The 25,730-nt window shown below is 48.9% G+C and overlaps 1 protein-coding gene and 1 long non-coding RNA gene across 7 annotated transcripts in view, besides 7 other annotated features; one reads left to right on the top strand and one right to left on the bottom strand.

The window, feature by feature from the left end:
• Positions 5,956 to 7,155: an enhancer, noted in NCBI's record as "BRD4-independent group 4 enhancer chr3:194292893-194294092 (GRCh37/hg19 assembly coordinates)". NCBI's record gives its function as "activates an origin of replication core promoter dependent on BRD2, P300/CBP, MED14 and CDK7 cofactors, and independent of BRD4, by STARR-seq in HCT116 cells {active_cell/tissue: HCT116}" and the evidence as "EXISTENCE:reporter gene assay evidence [ECO:0000049][PMID:35650434]".
• Positions 6,132 to 6,426: an enhancer, noted in NCBI's record as "tiled region #15717; HepG2 Activating DNase unmatched - State 1:Tss". NCBI's record gives its function as "activates a minimal TATA promoter and a strong SV40 promoter by Sharpr-MPRA in HepG2 cells {active_cell/tissue: HepG2}" and the evidence as "EXISTENCE:reporter gene assay evidence [ECO:0000049][PMID:27701403]".
• Positions 7,472 to 7,641: an enhancer, noted in NCBI's record as "active region_21029". NCBI's record gives its function as "activates an Ori minimal core promoter by ATAC-STARR-seq in GM12878 lymphoblastoid cells {active_cell/tissue: GM12878}" and the evidence as "EXISTENCE:reporter gene assay evidence [ECO:0000049][PMID:35858748]".
• Positions 17,326 to 17,991: an enhancer, noted in NCBI's record as "H3K27ac hESC enhancer chr3:194304263-194304928 (GRCh37/hg19 assembly coordinates)". NCBI's record gives its function as "activates a minimal SCP1, AML or CMV promoter by ChIP-STARR-seq in naive and primed H9 embryonic stem cells {active_cell/tissue: H9 hESC(naive and primed)}" and the evidence as "EXISTENCE:reporter gene assay evidence [ECO:0000049][PMID:30033119]".
• Positions 17,577 to 17,836: a silencer, noted in NCBI's record as "silent region_15025". NCBI's record gives its function as "represses an Ori minimal core promoter by ATAC-STARR-seq in GM12878 lymphoblastoid cells {active_cell/tissue: GM12878}" and the evidence as "EXISTENCE:reporter gene assay evidence [ECO:0000049][PMID:35858748]".
• Positions 18,027 to 18,076: an enhancer, noted in NCBI's record as "active region_21030". NCBI's record gives its function as "activates an Ori minimal core promoter by ATAC-STARR-seq in GM12878 lymphoblastoid cells {active_cell/tissue: GM12878}" and the evidence as "EXISTENCE:reporter gene assay evidence [ECO:0000049][PMID:35858748]".
• TMEM44-AS1 (TMEM44 antisense RNA 1) lies at positions 18,060 to 24,624 on the top strand. Of its 3 annotated transcripts, none has more exon segments than NR_047573.1 (4): positions 18,060 to 18,240; positions 22,813 to 22,934; positions 23,266 to 23,418; positions 23,647 to 24,624. It is a non-coding gene; the product is annotated as a TMEM44 antisense RNA 1 (long non-coding RNA).
• TMEM44 (transmembrane protein 44) overlaps positions 21,470 to 25,730 on the bottom strand; it is a 45,742-nt gene continuing 41,481 nt past the window's right edge. For all 4 annotated transcript variants that reach the window (NM_001166306.2, NM_001011655.3, NM_138399.5 and 1 more), the window contains one exon: positions 21,470 to 22,431. In NM_001166306.2, coding sequence (NP_001159778.1) covers positions 22,413 to 22,431 — 19 coding nt within the window. In that variant the 3' untranslated portion in view covers positions 21,470 to 22,412. The remainder of the gene's footprint in view (positions 22,432 to 25,730) is intronic.
• Positions 22,480 to 23,679: an enhancer, noted in NCBI's record as "BRD4-independent group 4 enhancer chr3:194309417-194310616 (GRCh37/hg19 assembly coordinates)". NCBI's record gives its function as "activates an origin of replication core promoter dependent on BRD2, P300/CBP, MED14 and CDK7 cofactors, and independent of BRD4, by STARR-seq in HCT116 cells {active_cell/tissue: HCT116}" and the evidence as "EXISTENCE:reporter gene assay evidence [ECO:0000049][PMID:35650434]".

Raw genomic sequence — 25,730 nt, forward strand, 5'->3', positions numbered from 1 at the left:
AGCATGTATTAGACACTAATTTAGAGACTATCCAGCCTCCTAGAGGACTTTGCCCCACGAGGTATTGCCACCTGGTTGGCACTGTAATTGAGTCTTCAAAAGCCCATTCTGGCCAGGTACAGTGGCTCACACTTGTAATTCCTCGTTTGAGCCCAGGAGTTTGAGACCAGCCTGGACAACATAGTGAGACCCTGTCTCTAATTTAAAAATAAACAAAAACAATTTCAAGGCCATCTTACCACTCTATCAAGCCAGTTGCTTGAGGATATGGGGAACATGGTAAGATTCTGAGTTCCGTAAGCTGGGGCTCATTGCCACATGAATTGAGTTCTCCGATGAGAAGTAGTATTGTGTGAAATGTCATGATGGTGGATAAGGCGTGCTATAAATCCATGGACGGTCGTTTTAGCAGAAACATTGTCTACAGGAAAGGCAAATCTGTATCCAGAGTAAGTAGCTATTCTGGTAAGAACAAAGTGCTGGCCCTTCTATGATGGAAATGATTCAGTGTAATCAATTTGCCACCAGGTAGCTGTCTGATAACCCTGGGGTCCTATCAGGGTCTCTCCGCTGCCAGCAGACTGGGCACTCAGCACTGGCTGCAGCCAGGTCAGCCTTGGGGCTGAGCCCACACACAGCCTCCATCCCTGCCACCATGTCCACTTGATTCATGAGCCCAGTGGGCAATGACAGAACTGGCTGGGGAAAGAGGCTGACTGGTATCCATAAAATGGGTCATCCCATCCACCTATTGTTAAATTCTCTCTCTGCCGAGGTTACCATTTGGTGAGCACTCATGTGGAACATAAATATCTTCACATTTTTCCCTATTCAGAGAGGTCTATCTGCTTACTCCTTCTTCAGACCTCCTTGTCACCAACTTTCCAATTATGTTCCCTTTAAGTCTCTGACCATCCAGCCAGTCCATTGGTGATAGCCCATGCTATGGGTTAAATGTTTGTATCTCCCTAACATTTATCTGTTGAAATTCTAACCACCAATGTGATGGTATTAGGAAGTAGTGAGGGCGGAGCCCTCGTGAAAGGGATCAGTACTCCTTAGGAAAAGAGACACAGAGACCCTGCTTCCTCTCTGCTCTCTCCCACCATGTGAGGAGCCACAAAAAGACGGCCATGTGCAAACCAGGAGACTGCATTCAGCAGGTGCCAGAACCGCCAGCACCTGGATCTTGGACTTTCCAGCCTCCAGAGCTGTGAGAAATAAATTGTTGTTCACCTGTGTGCAGTGGCTCATGACTGTAATCCCAGCACAAGAGGAGAGGCAGGGGTGTGTCCTGAGGAGAATCGCAGAACCTTGCGAGGCAACTTAGATGAGGCCTATGAGGTTTATACCTGCAGAGTGTGGCCAATCTGCTCAGACAGGAAAGGCTACTTTTGGCAAAGAAGACTTGGCAGAATTTAGGGGTTTGATGATCCCAGCTTCATCAGGATCTGCCCATATGTCCCAATTCCAATTATCAGTATCCCATTCCTTCCCAGTCAATGCCCTTGCTTTAATAAAAGATCCTGCAAGATTGAGAATTGAATTTACATTGGAATTTAGCTACTTGGAGGATAAGACCCTGGATTTTATTTTCAGAAATCTCAGTCCTGTAACCACAGGAGATAAGAGTTTTTCTCAGGGCAGATAGAGAAGCTTTCAGATCATTTATGCAAAACATGAGCTAGGAATTTGAAGCCCTGAACTCATCCTTTTCTTTCCCCACTTTTTTTTTTTTTAATGAGACAGAGTCTTACTCTTTCATCCAGACTGCAGTGCAGTGGTGTGATCTCAGCTCACTGCAGCCTCTGCCTCCCAGGTTCAAGTGATTCTCCTGCCTCAGTCTCCCGAGTAGCTGAGATTACAGGTGTGTGCCACCACACCCAGCTAATCTTTGTATTTTTAGTAGAGATGGGGTTTTGCCCTATCTTAAAATATAAATAAATAAATATATAAAGAAGAACTCATTTTTAAGGTTCTACTCTTTTAGAACCACTTTCAGAACCAAAGCCTGTATTAGCCAGACTATAACCAAGACAAAGACGACTAGGAGATAAATATTAAGAGATTTATTGCAAGGAATTGGCCTGTGTGACTGTGGGGACTGGGTAGGCAAATCTGATGTCTGAAGGGCAGACCAGAAAAAGCAAGGTATAACTTTCTCAGGCATTACCAAATGCTGCTGCCCACAGATGAAATTTCTTCAGAGAACCCTCAGCTCTGCTCTGAAGGCCTTTCAAGGTCTGACTGAACCAAGCCCATTCAGATTATCTAGGATAATCTCCCTCAAAGTCAACTGATTATGGACTTGAATCACATCTATAAAATACCTGCACAGCAATGCCTAGATTTGAGTTTGATTGAATAATGGGACTGTAGCCTAGCCAAGTTGACACATAAAATTGACCATCACACCGGGCGCGGAGGCTCACGCTTGTAATCCTAGCACTTCGGGAGGCTGAGGCAGGCAGATCACCTGAGGTCGGGAGTTTGAGACCAGCCTGACCAATGTGGAGAAACCCCATCTCTACTAAAAATAAAAAATTAGCCATGCATGGTGGCAGGTGCCTGTAATCCCAGCTACTCGGGAGGCTGAGTTAGGAGAATTGCTTGAACCTGGGAGGCAGAGGTTGTGGTGAGCCGAGATCGTGCCATTGCACTCCAGCCTGGGCAACAAGAGTGAAACTCCGTCTCAAAAAAAAAAAAAATTGACCATCACAATGCCCCCTGTAGAAGGTGGAGAGCCTTTCAGCAGCGGATGCATTCACATGATCACCAATGTGCTGTAGGCCCATCGATTGCTCTGTGGAGGCTGGTTTCAAGGAAGGAAAGGCCGAAGGCAGACAGACTAGGTGAAAGACGATCCAGGCCTTGCTGTGAGCTGAAGCGGGTACTCCAAAACTCAGTTGTTCAAGCTTAACACCTTGTACCTCCAGCAACTGTATTTGGAGATACAGTTTGGAGGTGCTTAGGTTAACACGAGGCTGTTAAGGCCAGGTGTGGTGGCTCACGCCTATAATCACAGCACTTTGAGAGGCCAAGGCAGGTGGATGGCTTGAGCTCATAAATTCGAGACCAGTCTGAGCAACATGAGAAACCCCGGCTCTACGAAAAATACAAAAATTAGCTGGGTGTGGTGGTGCAGGAGGCTGAGGTGGGAGGATGGCTTGAGCCTGGGGGGCGGAGTTTGCACTGAACCGAGATGGTGTCACTGCATTCCAGCCTGGGCGACAGAACCAGAGCTTGTCTTTAAAAAAAAAAAAAAATGGGGCCGGGCACAGTGGCTCATGCCTGTAATCCCAGCACTTTCGGAGGCAGAGACTGGTGGATTGGTCAGGCTTGAGGCCAGGAATTCGAGACCAGCCTGACCAACGTGGCGAAAATCCATCTCTACTAAAAAATACAAAAATTTAGTCGTGGTGCACACCTGTAAATTCCAGCTACTCAGGAGGCTGAGGCACAAGAATCGCTTGAACCCAGGAGGCAGAGGTTGCAATTTTTAATAAAATTTTATTTTTCTTGGTCAGGCGCGGTGCTTCATGCCTGTAATCCCAGCACTTTGGGAGGCCAGGCGTGTGGGTCACCTGAAGTCAGGAATTCGAGACCAGCCTGACCAACATGGCGAAAACCTGTCTCTACTAAAAAGACAAAAATTAGCTGGACATGGTGGCAAATGCCTGCTACTCGGGAGGCTGAGGCAGGAGAATCACCTGAGCCTGGGAAGTGAAGGTTGCAGTGAGCCGAGATAGCACCACTGCACTCCAGCCTGGGTGACAGAGCAAGATCTTGTCTCAAAAAAAAAAAAAAAGATTATTTTTTGTCACACCAACAAATTCAGCTTCGAAGGAAGAGAAATTTGAACAATATTGACAGAAAGTTGAAGGGCAGGCAACTGGTAACGGCTCAGGCCTGACTGAGGGGGTTCACTATCCTGCTTATTCCAGACAAGCGGTCTGTTAGATTTTCCATCAGCCCAAATAACCTTCTACAGGGTGGAATTTATCATTTCCCAAGAGAGAAGCATCCGCTGCACCCTCAAAGCACAGCCACACAAAGACCTGTGGCTAAACTGGACACTTTGCTTGCCACTGATCTACTAGACGCATGGTTTCCAGAAGGAGATTGTCTGTGGCCGCAAACGGATTGCGAGCAGACTGCGAAGGGGTAGTGAAACCACCGCGGGGCTTCGGAAATGCTTCTCCGCTGAGCAAAGCTAAAAAGAAGTCTACAAGACACCGTGGATTTGGATGAAAAGAGTCTGCCTCCCCTTTGTCAACAGAAAGCCACAAGCACGCGTGTGCTGTGATGTGAAATGCTGGCATGAAGCAGCAGGAGTTTCCATTTTGTCACACTATAGGGAAACGCTGGAGCATCTCTGCAGCTGTCCCACTGACCCCCAGGACAACTGGAAGTCTAACATTTTTCCTTCTCATCACCTCCTCCACCCCTGGTGAAAGCTTTCCTGCCTCTTTGCCTTTCTGGATGGGAGAGCGCAGCTGGGGACACCCGAGGCAGCTCAAGCTGGAACACAAGGGCAGGGGAAAGCAGCGGACAAGATATGAAAGGGCTTGGGAGACATGGGAGTGAGATTGAAGGGCCCGAAGCACAGACAGAGCTGGCCCACGAGAGAGGAAGTGTTGCCTAGGATGTACTGTCTCTTCTCCTTCCTGGGATGATGAGAGGGCAGGAGCCACCTCGGACAGGTGTGCCCCCGTGCCCAGTGGAGTTCGCTAGAAGTGAGGCCTGCTGCTTCCCAACAGCTAAGTCATGGTGGAAAGCAGAGTGAAAATGTTTTCTTCCAGGAAAACAGGACCTCTGTTTCCATGACGCAGCCTCTGCTATTATCACACTGTGTGACCTGGACAAGTGTCAACCTTTCAATCTGTAGTTTCATCTGTAGATAATAATACCTGCCTCTTTGGGCGTCATGACGCAGAGTTATTAAGTACAGAGAGAATGAGTAAATATTCATCAAACTCCAAGACACCAGTAGGTGAAAGGTTTATGGGGAAACTTTTAGCCAGGCGTGATGGTGGGTGCCTGTAGTCCCAGCTACTCGGGAGGCTGAGACAGGAGAATCACTTGAATCTGGGAGGTGGAGGTTGCAGTGAGCCGAGATCGCACCATTGCACTCCAGCCTGAGTGACAAGAGCGAGACTCTGTCTCAAAAAAACGAATAAATAAATAAAATAAAAACTAATTCGGCTGGGGAAGGGTAGTGATAAATTTGCAGTTAACAGAATGTTTAAGTCTGAAGCCATGGCTGTTATGGTAGAGATCTCTTCAGGGCCCAGGCAAGACTTCGGTCACTGCGGCCAGGGCCAGGACTCGGTTCCTATCTCCCCCTCGCTGCCCTTGCATTGTTCTCCAAATCCCCTGGTGACCGAGCAGATACCCTGGAGGGACGAAACGAGGCCCACCCTGGCTTCCTCGAGCAGGACAGGGCCTGCCTGTGTGCTTTTCTTTAGTCTCAGAAAAGCCAAAATTAGCCTCACTTTTGTTTCTTTTCTCAGGAGCCTCTAAATTGTATCTCAGGAAAGGATTATTGTGCTCTAGGGACCCTATCTTATCGTGGGGTGTGGGGGAGGCGATGAGTGAAAGGAAAATGGTCTTTGACAAATTGGTTCAATTCGGACAATCACGTGATTTTCCAGTAATTGCCCACCACTGCTGTAGTGAGCTATTGTTTCACTTCCCAAATATTTAGTCAAGTAGGAGGCCTGAGAAAACTGGGGAGGGTCAGAGGCTGGAGAGCACGCTCATGGAGGGGAAAAGTGCTGTTTTTGGTGATCTCTGCATATTGTTGTGAATGGTAATACTAAGGACGCTCTGGACTCTTTATCACTAACTTTGAAGGACTGACAACCACTTTAGGTGTAAGGAGACCCCTCAGGGACACCCCCTGCCGGAATGCACTGCCGTGGGGGAAGAGTCCTTCTGAGGCGTGGGCTCTGGAGCTGGTAGCTTTTGAGCCTAGTTTGATCCAGCTCTTCCCTGCTTCATGGCCGACCAGGCTGCCTTGCTGACCCCTCTGAGGAGATAAGGGAGTATTGTTTTACCTCTCCTGGTGAACACCGCTGAGAAAAACAAAGTCACACACTGTGAATTAGGGGACAAATGAGACTCGGGCTGCCGGAGCTAAAGGCTTCACACAAAGAATCCAAGGCATGACCAGGCATTTGCTCTTATGCAACTTTTCAAAAATTCCTGGGTCTCCAGGGAAAAAGAGCATGAGCTCTGGGGTGACCTCACCCTGCCTCACTCAGCCTGACATCACGGGACATTTGGGGGATTAGGTCGGACGGTGGCGGCAGCGGCAGCACGTGAGAATGTGTGTTATCGACGGGGAACACTTTTCCCGTGCTCTCATGTGGTCATCTGTCTGATATGCCTGTGGGTGGAGGTGGGCAGAGGGGAAGGGAGTGTCCTGTCACCGGCGACAGAAAAGAGCCATGAGGTCATTGGAGCCCAAGGCTTTCCTCACTGACCATCGGCAGCAATTGTCTTCCCAGCTTCCACTCCCAAGGGTTCACCTCCGCTCCCACAGAGGGTTCTGATCTTGGGATTCCTGCTTTGGACACACATTTTCTTCCATCTGAAAATAGGCCCTGATAGTCGGACAGGGGATATATTATTTGGAGAGAGATTTGGCAATTAACTTTGACAATTTTGTTTTTTTCCAGCTTCTGATGACAATTCCCTCACATCTGAGCCCCTCTGAGATGCTGCCCTTGCTTCTTATAACTCCCTGCCTAGGCATGATGTGCAGGCAGCCCTTCGCCCACCTTGCCCACACCCTCCCCGCCCAGGGTTCCTCACCATGCATCTCACTGCGATCTGGGATCCCTCCCACTCCTCCACCTCCATCCCACTGAATCAGCGTCGCCGATCAGGAGCTGAGACCTGAGAAGCTGTATAAGAAGCAGACCACTCCCGCGATTCTGCTGCCCACTGAACTGGAGAATCATTGAGTCGGCTGATCTCTAACCACCGACTCAGAGCCTGCGTTCTAGAATCGAAATGTTCCCAGGGAAGGCAGCCTCAAGGGAATCAACGGACAGCCTCCCACTTGTGCAGGGGTTTTAATAACCATTAGGTCTCAGTCTTCCTACCTCAGTGATTCTCTTCCTTGGCTGCATGTTGGAATCATGCCTGGGGTTTTTTAAAGTTACACATAATATGGTTCCCAGCAGAGATGAGACATACGGGCTTTCCCCACCCCGCTTCTCTAAGAAGCAAAAAATGGCCTTGGAATCCCAGGCAGTGGTACCACCGGAAGTGTAATGTTGACACCTGGTAAGGAAATCTCCCAACTAAGTCACCTGGAGGCACAGAGGGCAGCCATCTGAACAGAGTGGGGACTGGGGATCCCAGGACTTACTGTGGTAATTTCCTTTAGAAGAATCGCTTCAGTGTTGGAGAAAGGGGTGCTCTCAGACGCTTAGGCTCCAAGGCGGCCAAACAAATGCTGCAGACCCTGGGGTGGATCTCTGGGGAAGAGCGGGCAAGAGCGTGGAGGTCCTGGCTCCCTGTGCTGGTGAGGCTGGAACGGGGTCTGACACAGCATCCCACAGCCAGCTGGTGTCCCACGAGGAGGCTGTATAGGTGAACTTAGGAGTCCAAGTAGGGATTCCTTGGCCAGGATTAGCAAGAGGGAGGGGAAGGTGGTCTCTTCTTGAAGAGGCACAGCTGCCCTGCGAGGCTGCTAGGAGCAGCTGGAGGGTACAAGCTAAGGATGGGGCAGGACCAGTGACTGACAGTGACACCATGAGGCAGTGAGCGGTCACAGCAGAGGTAACCGTAACTGCTAATAATGATTTGGTGTTGTTTGCCCAGCATTGATCAATGTGCCTTACACTTATTAATTCACCCGATAACAGTTCTGTGAGGAAGTCATTATCACCCCCACTGTAGAGAGAAGGAAATGGAGGCATGAAGGCTACACAATTAGAGTGGCTGCCAGTCTGTGAACCCAGGCAGTCTGGCTCTGGAGCCCACACCCCTACCCAGGAGGCCTTGCTGCCTTCATGGCAATAGCCTTCATTTATTGAGCACTTACTATGTGCTGTCACAGCCTCTGTGCTCTTTCAGCCTTCACCGCAATCTTCTGAGGTGGGGCATACTTTTCTTCTCATTTCACAGATAAGGAAAGTGAGGCGCAGGAAAGAAAAATAGGCAACTGCTTACCATCCATTCTCTCCCCTCTGGGAGTGGAAGCCAGACTAATTCCACGGCAGCTCCTTTGTTTTTTTTTTTTTTTGGAGACAGAGTCTCGCTCTGTCGCCTAGGCTGGAGTGCAGTGGCACGATCTCGGCTCACTACAACCTCCACCTCCCAGGTTCAAGGGATTCTCCTGCCTCAGCCTCTCGAGTAGCTGGGATTACAGGTGCCTGCCACCACGCCCAGCTAAATTTTGTATTTTTAGTAGAGATGGGGGTCACCGTGTTGTCCAGGCTGGTCATGAACTCCTGACCTCAGGTGATCCACCCTGCTCAGCCTCCCAAAGTGCCGGGATTACAGGTGTGAGTCACTGTGCCCAACCAGCTCCTTCACTTTTTAGAACTCAATAAGCCTTTAGGGTTCTCAGAAAACTCAGGGTAGGTGGAAGCTTCAACAGGGGATTCTGGGCATCCTGCAATACAACGTTTGCCCTCTTGAGTGCAGAACTGGAAAAACAAAGATTATAGGACATTCTTTCTCCCTCTAAATTTGTGAAAGCAAATCATACCAATTATAGGGGCCTCATCCCAGATCCATTTAATCAGAATACATGAAGAGTGGGGCCAGGAAATCTGAATTAAATCAAAACCAAAAACAAACCACAGGTGATTCTGGTGCACAACTGGGGTTGAAAATCACTGCGTTATCTCACGGTCATATGCATGGCCCCAGTGAGCAGTCAGCACTGTTTCACCTTGCCCGCTGCCTAGACACAGCCTATTTATCAAGACAGGGGAACTGCAGTAGAGAAAGAGTAATCCATGCAGAGCCGGCCGTGTGGGAGACCGAAGCTGTATTATTACTCAAATCAGTCTCCCCGAGCATTCGGGGAGCAGAGTTTTTAAGGACAGCTTGGTGGGTGTGGAGAGCCAGTGAGCCGGGAGTGCTGATTGATCAGGGATGATATCACAGGGAGTCAGCTGTCTTCTTGCGCTGAGTCAGTTCCTGGGTCGGGGCCACAAGATCAGATGAGCCAGTTTATCCATCTGGGTGGTGCCAGCTGATCCATCAAGTGTGGAGTCTGCAAAATATCCCAAGCGCTGATCTTAGGAGCAGTGTAGGGAGGGTCAGAATCTTGTAGCCTCCAGCTGCATGGCTCCTAAACCATCATTTCTAATCTCTTGGCTAATTCGTTTGTCCTACAAAGACAGTCTAGACCCCAGGCAAGAAGGAGGTTTGTTTTGGGAAAGAGCAGCTGTCGTCTTTGCTTTAAAGTAGAAACTAAGTTTCTCCCAAAGTTAGTTCACCTTCGCCCAGGAATGAACAAGGACAGCTTGGAGGTTAGAAGCAAGATGGAGTTGGTTAGGTCAAGTCTCTTTCACTGTCTCGCTTACAGTTTTGCAATGGCGGTTTCATTTCCAACAACAACTTCTAGTTTTCAAATTCTCTTGCTTAGAAAGAAGCTGCATGCGAGACCTGAGCAAAACTCCTCTCCTGTCACAGAGGGGATGTTGCTCAACAGGCAAGAGAACGTGCCAAGGAAGGAGTTGGGTCAGGCCTGGGGCAGACAAGCAAACATCCAGGCACTCTATTCTTACCCTTCCCCCTGCCTTCTCTACTTGGAGAATCATCAACTGGTCTTAAAAGCCAGGCCCATGAAGCCATGTCTTCTTGGTGAACACTCCCCCTGTCTGGCCTCCGCCTCCTCCTGGCCTCTCCTCCTGGGCACTGCGCTTCCCCTACAGGGCTGAGGTGCCCTTGCAGACAAGGGCTGGGAGTTATTCCTGTGCTCCCCCTGCCCCAGCAGGGTGCCTTGGACATAGTAACCCCTCAGGAAGTGTCAGTCCAATGAACATAAGGGAAAGGAAGATGGGAGGAGTGAAGACAGAGGGACAGAGAAGTCAAAGGGTAAAGCGGTAACCATATTTGGGGGATGGCCAGTGAAAGGTGATTTAATGCCAACCCCATGAGTAAATGGGATCTTTACTCTGACCCATGGGACAGCCGGTCCAGGTACTCACCTGGTCACCCTCTACCTGTGGATCACAAATACTGAGAGAAACATGAGAACAACATGCATGATTGTACCAGGAATCATTTATTATCATTGTTGATCCTTATTATGACCCTCTGAGATAAGCAGGGTAGATATTAATAATCCCATTTTGCAGCTGAGGAAGCTAAAGCTCCAAAAGGGCCAGGTGCAATGGGTCACGCCTGTAATCCCAACACTTTGGGAAGCGAAGGCAGGAGGAACCCTTGAGGCCAGGAATTCAAGACCAGCCTTAGCAACATAGTGAAACCCCCATCTGTGCAAAAAATTAAAAGTTGCCGGGCACGGTGGCTCACGCCTGTAATCCCAGCACTTTGGGAGGCTGAGATGGGTGGATCACCTGAGGTCAGGAGTTCGAGACCAGCCTGGCCAACGTGGTGAAACCCCATCTCTACTAAAAATACAAAAATTAGCTGGGCGTGGTGGCGAGCACCTGTAGTCCCAGCTACTTAGGAGGCTGAGGCAGGAGAATTGATTGAACCCAGGAGGCGGAGGTTGCAGCGAGCTGAGATCGTGCCACTGCATCACAGACTGGGTGACAGAGTGAGCCTCCATTTAAAAAAAAATATTAAAAGTTAGCCAGGTGTTGTGGTGTGCACCTGTAGTCCTAGCTACTTGGGAGACTGAGGCAGGAGCATCAATTGAGCCCAGCAATTTGAGGTTATAGTGAGCTATGATTGCACCACTGTAATCCAGCCTGGGCAACCGAGCAAGACCCTGTCTCTCCAAAAAATTAAAAGAAAAAAAAAAGCTCAGAATGTAGCTACTAAGCAGAAGGTGGGTTAATGCAAGTTCATCGTGAGGCAAAAATAGCTCAGATTTTTTTTTTTTTTGAGACGGAGTCTTGCTCTGTCACCCAGGCTGGAGTGCAGTGGCGCGATCTCAGCTCACTGAAGCTCCGCCTCCCAGGTTCATGCCATTCTCCTGCCTCAGCCTCCCGAATAGCTGGGATTACAGGTGCCCACCACCACACCCAGCTAATTTTTTTGTATTTTTAGTAGAGACAGGGTTTCACCGTGTTAGCCAGGATGTTCTCGATCTCCTGACCTCATCATCCGCCTGCCTCAGCCTCCCAAAGTGCTGGGATTACAGGCGTAAGCCACCACGCTGGCCCCATAGCTCAGACTTTTAACATTGAAAAAGTCTTGAAAGCCATCTGATCCAACTCTCTGGTCAATGGTAACATCTTCCCCAAACCATCTTTTAATTTTTGAGATGGAGTCTCGCTCTGTCTCCCAGGTAGAGTGCAGTGGTGCCAACTTGGCTCACTGCAGCCTCCGCCTCCTGGGTTCAATGGATTCTCCTGCCTCAGCCTCCCAACTAGCTGGGATTACAGGTGTGCGTCATGATGCCCGACTAATTTTTGTATTTTTAGTAGAGATGGGATTTCACCATGTTGGCCAGGCTGGTCTCAAACTCCTGGCCTGAAATGATCCACCCACCTTGGCCTCCCAAAGTGCTGGGATTACAGGTGTGAGGCACCGTGCCTGGCCCAAAACATCTCTATAGGTGGGTTGAGGCTGTGTTGGAATTACTCCAGTAACACGGAGCCCGTGCAACCATTGCAGCTCAGACAGGACCACATGAAAGCTCTCCTTTACCCTAACTTACAGTCTTTCTCTGTATCACATGCCCATTAGCTCAATCCTCTCCTCCTGAAGACCAATCCAAAGGCATCAGCTCCTTTCCACTCTGCGGGCTCTGTGCTACCACCCCTAACGTGACAAGACCAATATCCAGGACTGAGCCTAGGCCTTGCTTCCCACCCCGTGAAGTAGGAGGCTGCCAGCCCCTGCTCGGCTGGGACACTGACTCATTCGTGACAGTGTGGGTGAGTCACTGCTTGCCTACAAGGGGTCTACTTCCCGGTTAAGGTGCTATTAAAAGGGTAACAGCCTCTGCCACTCTGCTCACTCAGGAGACAGTGGAGCATCTAAGGTGTCTCAATCTTGCCTCCTCAGAAGTTCAAAGGTCTTTACTTATACAATCTCATAATAAAAATATACTCAGGACCTAAAAGACATCCTGATGACTTTTAAAGAAATATGGAACTAGACCTAAAACAGGGGATGCTAGCTGGGCTGGGTGGCACGTGCCTGTAGTCCCACCTACTAGGCTGGCTAAGGTGGGAGGATCGTTGAGCCAGGAGTTTGAGAACAGCTGGGCAACATAGCCAGACCCTGTGTCTTAAAGAAAAAAAAAGAGAGAGAATCTACAAAACTAACTGCTTCATGCTAAGGAAGTAATAATAATAACTGATACCTTTATAGCATTTGGGAGTGGAAAGGCCCTTTCATGGTTTGCTTTTAGTTTTTTTCTGTGTGTGTGTGTGTTTTTTTTTTTTTGGATGGAGTTTTGCTCTTGTTGCCCAGGCTGGAGTGTAATAGCACGATCTCAGCTCACTGCAAGCTCCACCTCCCTGGTTCAAGTGATTCTCCTGCCTCAGCCTCCTGAGTAGCTGGGATTACAGGCACCCACCACCATGCCCAGCTAATTTCTGTATTTTTAGTAGAAACGGGGTTTCACCATGTTGGCCATGCTGGTCTTGATCACCTCAGGTGATCCGCCCCTCTCAAAGTGCTGGGATCACAGGCGTGAGCCTCCACGCCCGGCATGGTTTCTAGTTTTTGGAGGCACCATAGAGTAAAGCAGGTAGAAGAGGAGTACACTTTTTTTCTTTCTTTCTTTTCTTTTTTTTTTAATGAACAAGAATAGGAGTCCCACAGTTGGTGAATGGTGGGAGTTAGGACTGGTCCCCATCAGAGCTGGCGTTCTGGAGACCACACAGGTGCTGACAGCCCCGGGCACTGATGTGCGTCAGCTCGGGCCGAGTGCTGGCTGCCCTGGCTGGGATTGGCAGCAGCACTTCTGAGCCTGGCGCTTTATTGTGTACTATCTTATCTCAATAGGAAAAGGCAATTCAGGGGAAGAATTTCCCTGTCACAGTGCTCCAGACTTTCCATTGTCCAGCTTTCTTAGTCCTGGGTCATCCCCTGGGTCTGACCATTACTCATATCCATGGAGGCACCTTATCAGGGCTGTCTAAGATATGGGGCCTATTTTTTTCTCAGTACCAGACAAACTGGAATTTATCCACCCTTTGTGGCCTGACATCACACGACAATTAGTCGGCCCAGAATCCAGCCACATTTGGGAAGCTGCTTGAAAAGCAGTCTCTAATAACCAGCTCTTTCCTTGCAAAGCCCTAGAATTTCAGGGTCCTCTGCTGGCAACAGTGGTGGAGATGCGTGGAGACCCCATCTCATGATGGGCCAACTGTGAGACTCTTTCTTTTTTTTTTTTTTTTTTTTTTTGAGATGGAGTCTCGCTCTGTTGCCCAGGCTGGGGTGCAGTGGTGCAATCTCAGCTCACTGCAGCTTCTGACTCCTGGGTTCAAGAAATTCTCCTACCTCAGCCTCCCGAGTAGCTGGGATTACAGGTGCCCACCACCACGCCTGGCTAATTTTTGTATTTTTAGTAGACAGGGTTTCACCACGTTGGCCAGGTTGGTCTCGAACTGCTGACCTCAGGTGATCCACCCGCCTCAGCCTCCCAAAGTGCAGGGATTATAGGCGTGAGCCACTGTGCCCGGCCTTTTTTTGTTTTTGAGATGGAGTTTCGCTCTTGTTGCCCAGGCTGGAGTGCAATGGCGCCATCTCAGCTCACCGCAACCTCCGCCTCCTGGCTCCAAGCAATTCTCCTGCCTCAGCCTCCTGAGTAGCTGGGATTACAGGCAGGTGCCACCACACCCGGCTAATTTTGTATTTTTAGTAGAAACAGGGTTTCTCCATGTTGGTGAGGCTGGTCTCGAACTCCTGACCTCAGGTGATCCACCTGCCTCGGCCTCCCAAAGTGCTGGGATTACAGGCGTGAGCCACGCCTGGCGAGAATCTTTCTTTACTCCTGTTCTTTCTCACCCAGCTGGCTTTGAAAAACTTCCAACCTACAGAAAAGATGAAAGAATAACGAACATGTTTATGCTATTCGCCTAGATTAATCCATTGTTCCCGTTTTTCCGTTTGCTTTGTCTCTCTCCAACTACCTGAAAAATTTATAATTTTTTTCTGCTGAAATATTTAAAAGTCAGTTGCTTGGGGCCAGGTGCGGTGGCTCACACCTGTAATCCCAGCACTTTGGGAGGCCAAGGCGGGAGGATCACGAGGTCAGGAGATCGAGACCATGGTGAAACCCCGTCTCTACTAAAAATACAAAAAAAAATTAGCCAGGCATGGTGGCAGGCGCCTGTAGTCCCAGCTACTCAGGAGGCTGAGGCAGGAGAATGGTGTGAACCCGGGAGGCGGAGCTTGCAGTAAGCCGAGATCATGCCACTGCACTCCAGCCTGGGCGAGAGAGCGAGACTCTGTCTCAAAAAATAAAAATAAAAAATAAAAAATAAAAGTCAGTTGCCAAATCACGGTGCTTCACTCCTAAGTAGTTCAGCATGTATATCCAAAGGGGCGTTCTCCTGTGCAACCATAATATTATTAAGAAAGGAAACAATAAAGTTAGCTAATACACTGTACATATTCAAATTTGCTCAATTGTCCCAGTAATCCCATATAGCTCTCCCACCCCATCCCCACTGCAGACTCCTTTAAACTAGAACAGTTCTCTTAAGATGTATTTAAGTATTTCCACAGTCAAGAAACATCTACTACAAAAATCCACATAATCTTTTTACAACAGAATCTAATGACTTCTAAGACTTTTCTGATCTATCAAAATTTTTCTTATAATTGTGAATGGTGGCTCAAGCTCTCTTGTGTTCTACCTTTACTAGTTTACATTATGGTTTTGTTTTTTTTTTGAGACAGAGTTTTGCTCTGTTGCCCAGGCTGGAGTGCAGTGATCACTGCAACCTCCGCCTTCTGGATTCAAGCAATTCTCCTGCCTTAGCCTCCCGAGTAGCTGGGATTACAGGCGTGTGTCTAATTTTTGTATTTTTAGTAGAGACGGGGTATTCACCATGTTGGCCAGGCTGGTCTTGAACTCCTGACCTCAGGTAATCTGCCCCCACTTGGCCTCCCAAAGTACTGGGATTACAGGGGTGAGCCACTGCACCCGGCCTATTAGCTGACATTATCTTTCATAATTTTTTTTTTTTTTTTTTTACTGTGTGTGAACTGAGAATTCATGCTGTGAGAACAGGCAAAGCCACTCAGGCACTGCAGTAGATGATTTCAAGGTAATTCATGTCTGTTCTTCAATCCATGGTTCTGTGATATTTTAGGTTTAATGGCAAAATGTCATTTCTTCATTAAAGCATAATGTTTGGGCCAGGTGTGGTGGATCATGCCTGTAGTCCCAGCGCTTTGGGAGGCCGAGGAAGGTGGATCACTTGGGGTCAGAAGTTCAAGACCAGCCTGGCCAACATGGCGAACCCCGTCTCCACTAAAAATACAAAATGTAGCCAGTCATGGTGGCACGCGCCTGTAGTCCCAGCTACTCGGGAAGCTGAGGCAGGAGAATCGCCTGAACCCAGGAGGCAGAGGTTGCAATGAGCTGAGATGGCACCACTGCATTCCAGCTTGGGCAACAGAGACAGACTCCATCTCAAAAAAAAAAAAAAAAAAGTATGTTTAATTCTGCACAACAGTGGGGTTTGGGAGCTTTATCACTTTTTTTTTGTTTGTTTGCTATTCTAAGTAGTTTTGTGAGAACATCTCATACAAATAGATCTGTTTTAAAAGTAATTTCCCGGCTGGAGTGGTGGCTTGTGCCTGTAATCCCAGTACTTTGGGGGACCAAGGCAGGAGGATCTCTGGAGCCCAGGAGTTCGGAACCAGCCTGGGCATCATAGTGAGACTCCGTCTCTGTATTTGAAAATGATAACAAAATACCAAGAAGAGATGGAAAAAGTAAATACATAAAAGCAATTTCCCGAGGACAGTGTTTTTCAGAGACTGGTCCTGGACCATCTGTAGCAGAATCACCTGAGGAGCCTGCTAAGCTTCCCAAGCCCTGCCCAGACCTAGGGAATCCTCCGGGTGGAGCCTAAGAGTCTACATTTGAGTATCAGGGCTTTAGGCTATACTGGCTAGCAGAAGGTAAGGCCCATGAAATGGCCCTTTTCATCCATGGCCATGCTGTCCTTGGGAAAGATGGTGGTGGCCGCCGTGTATGACGTCCCTTGTTCCAGCTGTGGGTTTAGAGAATCCCTCAGATTTCCTCTGGAGATTCCAGGTGCCAAGACACCTGTAGGAGGAAGGCCGGAAGGGAAAGGTCAAGTCCGGAGCAGAGGCGTGGACCGCGGCAGGCTGCTGTTGGAGCGTGCTGGGCTCAGAAGCCGGGTTCTAGCTAGGAAACTGCGGAGTGGCCAAGGAGTTCCTGGCGCGAGGCACGCCACACAACCCTCGGATGCGAAGACGGTGACCATCCATTTCTCAATACGCCAGTGGCCCTGCCGTGCTACTGAGCCTCGTCAGCCTGTATAATGGAAGCTGAAGATGATGCAGCTCAGGAAAAGCAAGTATGATCTTAAGAACCCTGTAGCTGGAAAGCATGTTCCAAATCAAACCTAATGGAGACAACTACTAGAAGGTATAAAAGTTTTTTTTTTTTTTGAGACAGAATTTTGCTCCTGTTGCCTAGGCTGGAGTGCAGTGGCGCGGTCTCAGCTCACTGCAGCCTCTGCCTCGCCGGTTCAAACGATTCTCCTGCCTCAGCCTCCCAAGTAGCTGAGACTACAGGCGCCCACCACCACGCCCGGCTACTTTTTGTATTTTTGGTAGGGACGGGGTTTCACCATGTTGGCCAGACTGATCTCAAACTCCTGACCTCAGATGATCCGCCCGCCTCACCCTCCCAAAGTGTTGGGATTACAGGCGTGAGCCACCGCGCCCAGCCCAAAAGATTTTAAAAAGGAGTCTCTTGGAGGCAAAGGGACAGAACATTATTGTTTTTCATCATAAACCTTTTGGTGCAATCTGATTTTCTTTTTTTAAACCATGTACTTGCACTATTTTTATCTCAAAAAAGGTTTTTAATGCATTTAAAAACAAAGAAAAGAATGGTTTATAATACACCGTTAGGCTTCTGGGAGGTCTGAAACACACTATGAACCGTAAAATAACCTTGTAATTATCTCCTTAAAAACCGAGTGGGGTGGGCCAGGCGTGGTGGCTCACGCCTGTAATCCCAGCACTTTGGGAGGCCGAGGCGGGCGGATCACGAGGTCAGGAGTTCGAGACCAGCCTGACCAACATGGTGAAACTCCGTCTCCACTAAAAATACAAAAATTAGCCGGGCGTCGTGGCGCGCCCCTGTAGTCCCAGCTATTCAGTCGCAGAAGAATCGCTTGAATTCGGCAGGCGGAGGCTGCAGTCAGCAGAGACCGCGCCACTGCATTCCAGCCTGGGCGACAGAGACTCCGTCTCAAATAAACAAACCAAAACTGAACTACGGAGACGCCCTCGACAGTTCTTTCCCGGCTGCGTCGCCGCTGGCTGAGGTCAGAAACGCCGGCCTTCGGCTGCGGCGGCGGCTGCGGCGGCGGGGCGGGGCCGCGGGACTCTCGCTCCTCGCGGGAGGCGGTGGCTGCGGAGTGCGCACGCGCGGAACCGCAATTCCGTTCTTCCCGGAAGTGCCCTGCTGGTGCTGGGAGTAGGGCGCAAGATGTCGGCGGATGCAGCTCCGAGGAGGTAGGCAGTGGGAGCCGGCGTTCAGTCCGGCCCGTGCCAACAGTGGTTCCTCTCTCCCCCGTAGTTCGAGGAGACCACGCGCTGCCCCTCTGGCACGATCGTGGATGAACCCCCTGGCAACTGAAATGGGAAAGGCAGCGCCCCCGACTCTGGGGACTGGACCGAAGTCCACGGTAGTGACAGCTGCCAGACCCTGAGGAGAGGACGAGAAGACCCGAGGCCTCTGCTACGAACACTGGCAGCCGATGGAAAATTCAGACGGATTTGGGACAGTATGCAGAGTTCTCCAAGCGACAGATTAACAGAGGCTCTTGAAGAATAACTGCGTAATCACGTGTTCTGCTCAAAAGAAGGCCTGAATGCCCAGTGCCTTATTTGGCTTTCAGGGTTGGTGAAAGAAAAAGCAAAGTAGATGCTTTCTAATGCTAAGTCATTTAATGTAGCACCATTCCTTGAACTTCTTTCATCTCTAAGGTCGTCCCTTTCACCTGATGATGACCTTTGGGCCATCGTACAGGCATGTGTAAACTTGGAGATCTTCCTCAACATTGCACCATATCTTGGGTTCATTCAAGGCAGAGTCTCCTTGCAAAAGCATTCTAAAACAATGTAAAGTCGAAGAGAGTAGAGCAATACCTCCATAGTTGGAAAATGTGGAGGAGGCCAATTAAGGGACAGAAAAAGAAGTGCAGAGAATCTTGGAATTGTTGCAAAATTATTCTGGAGATATTTCTAAGTCTCCTCTATCCTTTTCCTTAGTGATTAATACAGGTTTTTATATTAAGTGGACAGTAAAATCCAAACAGAAAGAGGTATATGTCGTATAATGAAGCCTATGTTCAAAGTATATCTGAAATTTGTTTTTATAATGTCTTTCTTGAGAGCTTATAAAGATGTCAGTATTCTGTGGGAAACAAATTGGCACATGCATAAAAGAGAAAAAATGAAAAAAATCAGGCCCAACTTTCAGTTTACAGATGAGGAAACTGTGACATAGAAAAGGAAATGACAAAGATCACACTGAATCAGACCTGGGAACTGGAGCCCAGCCATGCTCCTTGGCCCAGTGCCTCTTCTTATTCTAGGAGCTCATACCCCTTTGAAAGAAACATAATATGAATGTGTCTTCAAATGATGCTCATAAATCTCTTCATCATACTGAGGGAGGGAGATAAGGGGATTAGTTCTTCAGGATCTAGACAGGCTTTCAAGAAAATCTTTAGCTGGGTGCGGTGGCTCATTCGTGTAATCCCAGCGCTTTGGGAGGCTGAGGCAGGTGGATCACCTGAGGTCAGGAGTTCCAGATCAGGCTGGCCAACAGCGTCTCTACTAAAAATACAAAAATTAGCCAGGCATGGTGGCGGGAGCCTGTAATCCCAGCTACTCGGGAGGCTGAGGCAGGAGAATCGCTTGAACCTGGGAGGCGGAGGTTGCAGTGAAGTGAGATCGTGCCATTGCACTCCAGGGCAACGAGTGAAACTCCATCTCAAAAAAAAAAAAAAAATCATCATCATCATCATCTTAGCAGAGCTCTCGCTAAATGATAAAGACTTGGCAACTGATATCCTTTTTTTCAGAGAACTTAAGTAGAGACTGGATAATCACTAATTGGGGTTGTGTTTAAGGGCATTCAAACCTCTGAAATCTCTTCCATCTGCAGGTCTAATTATTTGGTTACTCTTTCAGTACATGTGTGCAGGAAGCATGGGGGGAAAGAAAACTAATCCCTCTCCAAAGTCTTCTTTGAATAGGTATTATGTTTGCATTTTCATACATGTTAGTTCACTTAGTCTTCACCATAGGCTTTCTAGGTTGGTATTATTCTTAGTCTACCTAAGAAGTTCACAAAGGTTAGGTGACATGCTCCAAGCCACACAGATGATAGGCGGCACAACCAGATGATACTACAGGTCTCCAGATGAGTGAGCCAATGATTACATAGTTTGTTCCCCAGCCCCTCCCCAGTGTAGGTAAAGTGCCTGCACTGCTCACTGGGTCATCAGAGCAAGTTGCTCCCACTGCCCTCTTGGTCTAACGGCTAGAAACAAAGCTGCAACAGAGGCCCACTCCTACTAGGAGACAGGCATTTTAATTGGCACCTCCTTACAAAGGCTCCAGTGTTCTAGAGCTTTGCATACAGGAAGATTCTCGTTGAACAATGAAGCCAAACCTCGCTTCCAAAATTCCCAGTTTGGTAGTTCACTGTGGATGAAGAGGCCGGAGACACCCTTAGACAAGCTGGGACCGTGATGATAGGAACCAGTTTGTGAAGGGAGGAGGCTGGGCTAACAGGATCTAGGGAGATAGATGATATCTGGACCTTAGGTAGTTCGTGTTACTCAAAGTCAGCAAGGTTTTTGTTGTTTTTTGAGACAGTCTTGTTATGTTGCCCAGCCTGGAGTGCAGCAGTGCGATCTCAGCTCGCTGCAACCTCCACCCCGTGGGTTCAAGCAATTCTTGTGCCTCAGCCTCCTGAGTAGCTGGGACTACAGGTGCGGGCCGCCACACTTGGCTAATTTTTTGTACTTTTAGTAGAGATGGAGTTTCACCATGTTGGCCAGGCTGGTCTTGAAGTCCTGTCCTCAAGTGATCTGCCTGCCGCAGCTTACCACAAGTGCTGGGATTACAGGTGTGAGCCACTGCACCTGGCCAAGATCATTTGATGTTCTTGGGTGAATGGCCACTTTCACCTGGATCCCACCAATTTTTGGTGCCCTAGGGAGCATGATCCAGAGTTCCCTCAAGACAGAGGATGTGCTAAAGGCAAACTCCAGAGGTCATCCTATCCCCATGCCTTCCGCCTTTCTAAAGAGAAGCTCTTCTGCCCTGCTGTTACCACTCAGTACTCTAGATTAAACCTGTTCCCCACGTTCATTCTGTACCCATGACTATATTTCTGCTTCCTGGAAAGTTGTAGCCATAGGAATGAAAAACTCACCAATCAGTTGTGGTCTTCCTGAGGCAAGTCAGTCACCTTCCTACTCTGGTATCTTCCATGGCTACCAGCTGGCCACAGAACCAAGCACTGACTCACCAGCCTCCAGTCTGGTTCCTTTTCAGCCTTTTTGCCACCCCTACAGCCCATACTACATCATCCATTCTGGCCATCTCAGATTCTTCCTTGCTAGCTCCCACCTTTCCCTGCATCCAGTCCTCTGTACTATTTCATCTATTTGAACACTCTTTTCTCCCTGCATCCTGGGTCTCCATTCAAATCTTCCTCTTCCCTGGAAGTACAGCTTCAGTGGTTAACATCACAAAGCAAAGCTGACTTCAGCAAACTTTCCAAGACAACCAGGGACCAACACAGTTCAGATTAAAGGGGATAAATAAAGTGGCTTTAAGATCACTTGTAGTTCAGAGGTCACCCAGGGGATTAGGATCTATGCAGAGACCTGCAGAGCCACGCTGCTTCCCCAAGGGACCCCCTTCATGCTGCTGGAACTTGCCCTACCCCTCAGGAGAAACTGGGCTGCTGTAGCTGCGTCACGCAGGCGGCTGTGGGCCAGCCCGGAGCAAAACTGTGTTGCTTGGCATTTCTCCACTTCCTCTCGTGGCCGACGTCATTCTGTGACTGTGCAGGGATTCATGCTCGCCATTGCACTCCACAGTGAGATACTTGAATTGATTTAAAATTTATTCACCCCAGTGTTCACTCCCACCTTAGCCCCATTCCATGCGCCCTTACCCTTACTCATCGCAGTATCAAAATAACTCCCAAATGGGATTGCTGTGCTTGAACACCTCCCATCATGCCTCTTACCTTCTGCATGCATTTAGTTAGTTCCTGAAGCATACAGCCCCCTCACCTGCAAGCCCCGCCTCAGCGCACACCCTTGCCAGGTTGGAGGAAGTCCTGGTACCCGGAGCAGTTTGCTTTGTTTTTGCAGTGTCAGTGATCTCACAAGCACTTGGTTGGCCACACAGTCCTATCGATAACTTCCAGCAGATAACCCAAGTGGGTGACTGGGGGGTGGAAGCCAGGTCTCGGTTCCTGTGTGTGACCCAAGGCCCCCCAGCACAGGGCCCACCCTCTCATCTGGCTCAGCCAGGTCTTGCAGAATGGGCTCTGCTGAGATCTAACCAGACACATTTGCTATCTGTTAGGTGAGCTCATTCCTGGAACCTAGCAGGTATTCCGTTCATGGCTGACTCTCAAGGGAATGAAGGGAAAAGGAAGAGCGGGTCTGAGATCCTTTGGATTATCTTTACGAAGCAAAAGCTTCTGTGAACTGTGATCTTCAGAACGAATGCTGGGCCTATCCAGGTCTGTCCGCAGTACCCAAAGTCGTAGCTCCGTGATGAGCTATGATGTAGCCCAGCCACACTCAGTGACGGCTCCTGGTTCCTCACTTGCCAGGGCAGCTTCAGTTCCTGCCGCGGTGTCAGTGCAGATTGATTCCCGCTGCGTTACTGAACGAACTCCTGACCCTGGGCTCTGAGCTGATGAGCTGGCTCCAGAAGGTGTTAATCATCATCACTCAGGTGTGCTGTCCTCACAGAGTCCTGGTGCACCTGGGATCCCAGTAGCTCCACATTTTCTTTGCTGCCTTCGAGGTTCACATCTTCAGGGTCCCACTATGGAGAAAAGATGCAAAGGGTAGCTGGGTGGAACGGATAGATGCTTCTCATCTGTCATAACCCCTGACCCAAACAAAAGCTCCAATCTTGGTTCTCATGATCCAGGCACAGACAAGGACAAAAGGGTAAGGACAAGTTACCCAGGCCTGTGTTTCTGGGACCTAAGGAGGCAAGCATAACTTTACATCAAGCAACTAATGAACAACCACCCTAAACATAACAGCTTCACTTTCCTTCCCGCCCTCATTCTCCACTCTTCTCTGCCTCTACCAAGTCCTTATCTAGTGACACTGAGTCATGTTCTCCTTATCCTGACTCCATGCCTAACTCATTCCTGGAAAAAACCAGGCAAACTTAATCCTTTTTTATTTTTTTAAGACAGGGTCTTGCGGTGTCACCCAGGCTAGAGTACAGTGGTGCAATCATAGCTCACTGCTGCCTCAAACTCCTAGACTCAAGCAATCCTCCTGCTTCAGCCTCCCGAGTAGCTGGGACTACAGGTGTGTACCACAATGCCTGGCTAAGTTTTTAATTTTTAGTAGAGATAAAGTCTTGCAATGTTGCCCAGGCTGATCTCGAACTCCTGGACCTAAGCAGTCCTCCCGCCTCAGCCTCCCAAAGTGCTCAGCTTACAGGCTTGAGCCACCATGCCCAGCTTCAACCTATTCTTTATGGGCCAGGTAAATACCTCTTCCCCCAGGAAGCCTACCTTGACCGTGTTAGCCCATTGAGCTCTCACCTGCCTTTCTCTTTGTATTACCTATTCCACTGATTTGCCCCTGAGCACGGACAGCCCTGGCGTTTATGCGGACATCTGCCTTGTTGTCTCAGGTAGATGATGGGCTCCACGGGAACAGAGCAAACGTTCGCTCCTGCTCCTACACGGTGTTTCCTCTAAACCTGAGGCTCAGCCGACTTGTCATCACTTAAAACCCAATTCAGAGCGGGGGGGCACTGCCAGTGAATAGTTCATCACCGACTCAGGTGGGTTTGGGAAGTTGAAATTTGCAGGGGTGAGTGACGGGTTAATACAAGTGGGCACAGAAGCATTGACAAAGCTGTCTGTGAAGCCCTCCTGCTGTTCTAAGATGATGGATTAGAGCCCAAGGGGATCCTTGGTGTTACCTTTGAGGTTCCAGCCATGGAGGCAAGTAGGGATTGGGCTCCAGTTCTCCTCCTGTCACTAATTTGCCTTCGTTTTTGGGGCCTCAGTTTCCCCATGTGTATGCTGTGGTATTGGATCAGCAACGAGATAAGAAGATCTCTCCCATTTCCAAGCGTCTATGATGATTCTGAGGCACAAGGTCACATTTGACAGTACTAGGAAACCCAGGAAACAAGAAGCAAAGATGACAAAGGCTGTGTCTGCCTGGGCAGACGATCTATTTGGACAAGATAATAGACCCAGGCATGGACATGCTCTCCAAGAAAGATGCCCTGACAGCTGCTCACACTGAAGCTGAATCGAACATTCCAATCCTTAGAGGTTCCAGCGAAGATCTTGAAGTCTCCCTGAGCCATTGACACAATGGCCATGCCATCCCAGTGATAAAACACAAATTGTGGCCTTGTTTTGGACAGAAATAAAGAGCCCAGTTTGTTAGTGATTTACTGATAATAACTGAATCGAGTACTAATACTTGGCGATTTTAAAAGCCATCATGTTAAAAAGACCACCTGATTCCCAGTGACCCTGCAGTGACTGGGTTTGGGCAGCTCGTCCCCTGCACCTGTTTGGGGCTGTGCCAGCCACTTCCAGTGAGAACATCGCATTAACTTGCGGTCGCAGACCTGGCTGGACCCCTTGAACCAAATTCCTTTCTGACCTTATCAGACCCCAAATAAAAGAGCTCACCAGGCCCCTCAGCCTACGTGACCCACCTGCCCAGTGAAAAAAGTAGGGCCCTGTTCTGTTCTCTGAGGATGGTCAGTGTGCTCTTTGATGAAAACGGTTTCTAAGCTGAGGCCTGAGACCTAGATCATTGTTCTCACAGCGTGTGCTTGACCAGCCACACCAGAAGCACCCAGGCTGCTGGCTAAAAACACTGATGCTGGGGCCCACCCTAGCCCCTGGGTAGGGGGTAGAGACCTAAGGTTTGGCATTTTTACAAGCTCCTAGGGTGATTCTTAGATGCCCTGATGATTGAGAACCACTGCTCGAGCTTCTTAAATGGCTGCTGAAGAATGATTCTTGCCAACCGTGACCAGTTCAGCAGCCTGCAGACAGAAACCTGTCACTTTGATCAGGTGAGCTCTTTAAACTAGTACAGGCCGGGCACGGGGACTCACGCCTGTAATCTCAGCACTTTGGGAGACTGAGGCGGGCAGATCACCTAAGGTCAGGAGTTCAAGACCAGCCTGGCCAACATGGTGAAACCCCGTCTCTACCAAAAATACAAAAATTAGCCAAGTATAGTGGTGGGCGCCCGTAATCCCAGCTACTTGGGAGGCTGACACAAGAGAATCGCTTGAACCTGGGAGGCAGAGGTTGCAGTGAGCTGAGACTGTGTGATTGTACTCCAGCCTAGGCAACAAGAGCGAAACTCCATCTCAAGAAATAAATAAATAGGCTGGGTGTGGTGGCTCACGCCTGTAATCCCAACACTCTGGGAGGCTGAGGCGGGTGGATCACCTGAGGTCAGGAGTTCGAGACCAGCCTGGCCAACATGGTGAAACCCCATCTCTATTAAAAATACAAAAAATTAGCCAGGCATGGTGACAGGCGCCTATAATCCCAGCCACTTGGGAGGCTGAAGCAGGAGAATCGTTTGAACCCCGGAGGCGGAGGTTGCAGTGAGCCGAGATCACGCCACTGTACTCCAGCGTGGGCGACAAGAGTGAAATTCTGTCTCAAAAAATAAATAAATACATAAATAAGTAAGTAAAAATAAAGTGGTACAAATCTTAGAAAACATTTAGAATCTATTTTTTCTGACTCTCCAGAATAATGTGTTTTAAAACTTCATTATTTATTTATTTATTTATTTTGAGACAGAGTCTCACTCCATCACCCAGGCTGGAGGCATGATCTGGGCTCACTGCAACCTCTGCCTCCTGGGTTCAAGTGATTCTCCTGCCTTAGTATCCTGAGTAGCTGGGACCACAGGTACACACCACCACACCTGGCTAATTTTTGTATTTTTAGTAGAGATGGGGATCTCGCCACGTTGGCCAGACTGGTCTCCAACTCCTGACCTCAGGTGATCCGCCCCCCTCAGCCTTCCAAAGTGTTGGGATTACAGGTGTGAGCCAACGTGCCCGGCCTAAAAACTTCATTTTATAATAAAATCATTGGG

This window comes from Homo sapiens, chromosome 3 (genome assembly GCF_000001405.40).
Source record: "Homo sapiens chromosome 3, GRCh38.p14 Primary Assembly".
NCBI lineage: Eukaryota > Metazoa > Chordata > Mammalia > Primates > Hominidae > Homo > Homo sapiens.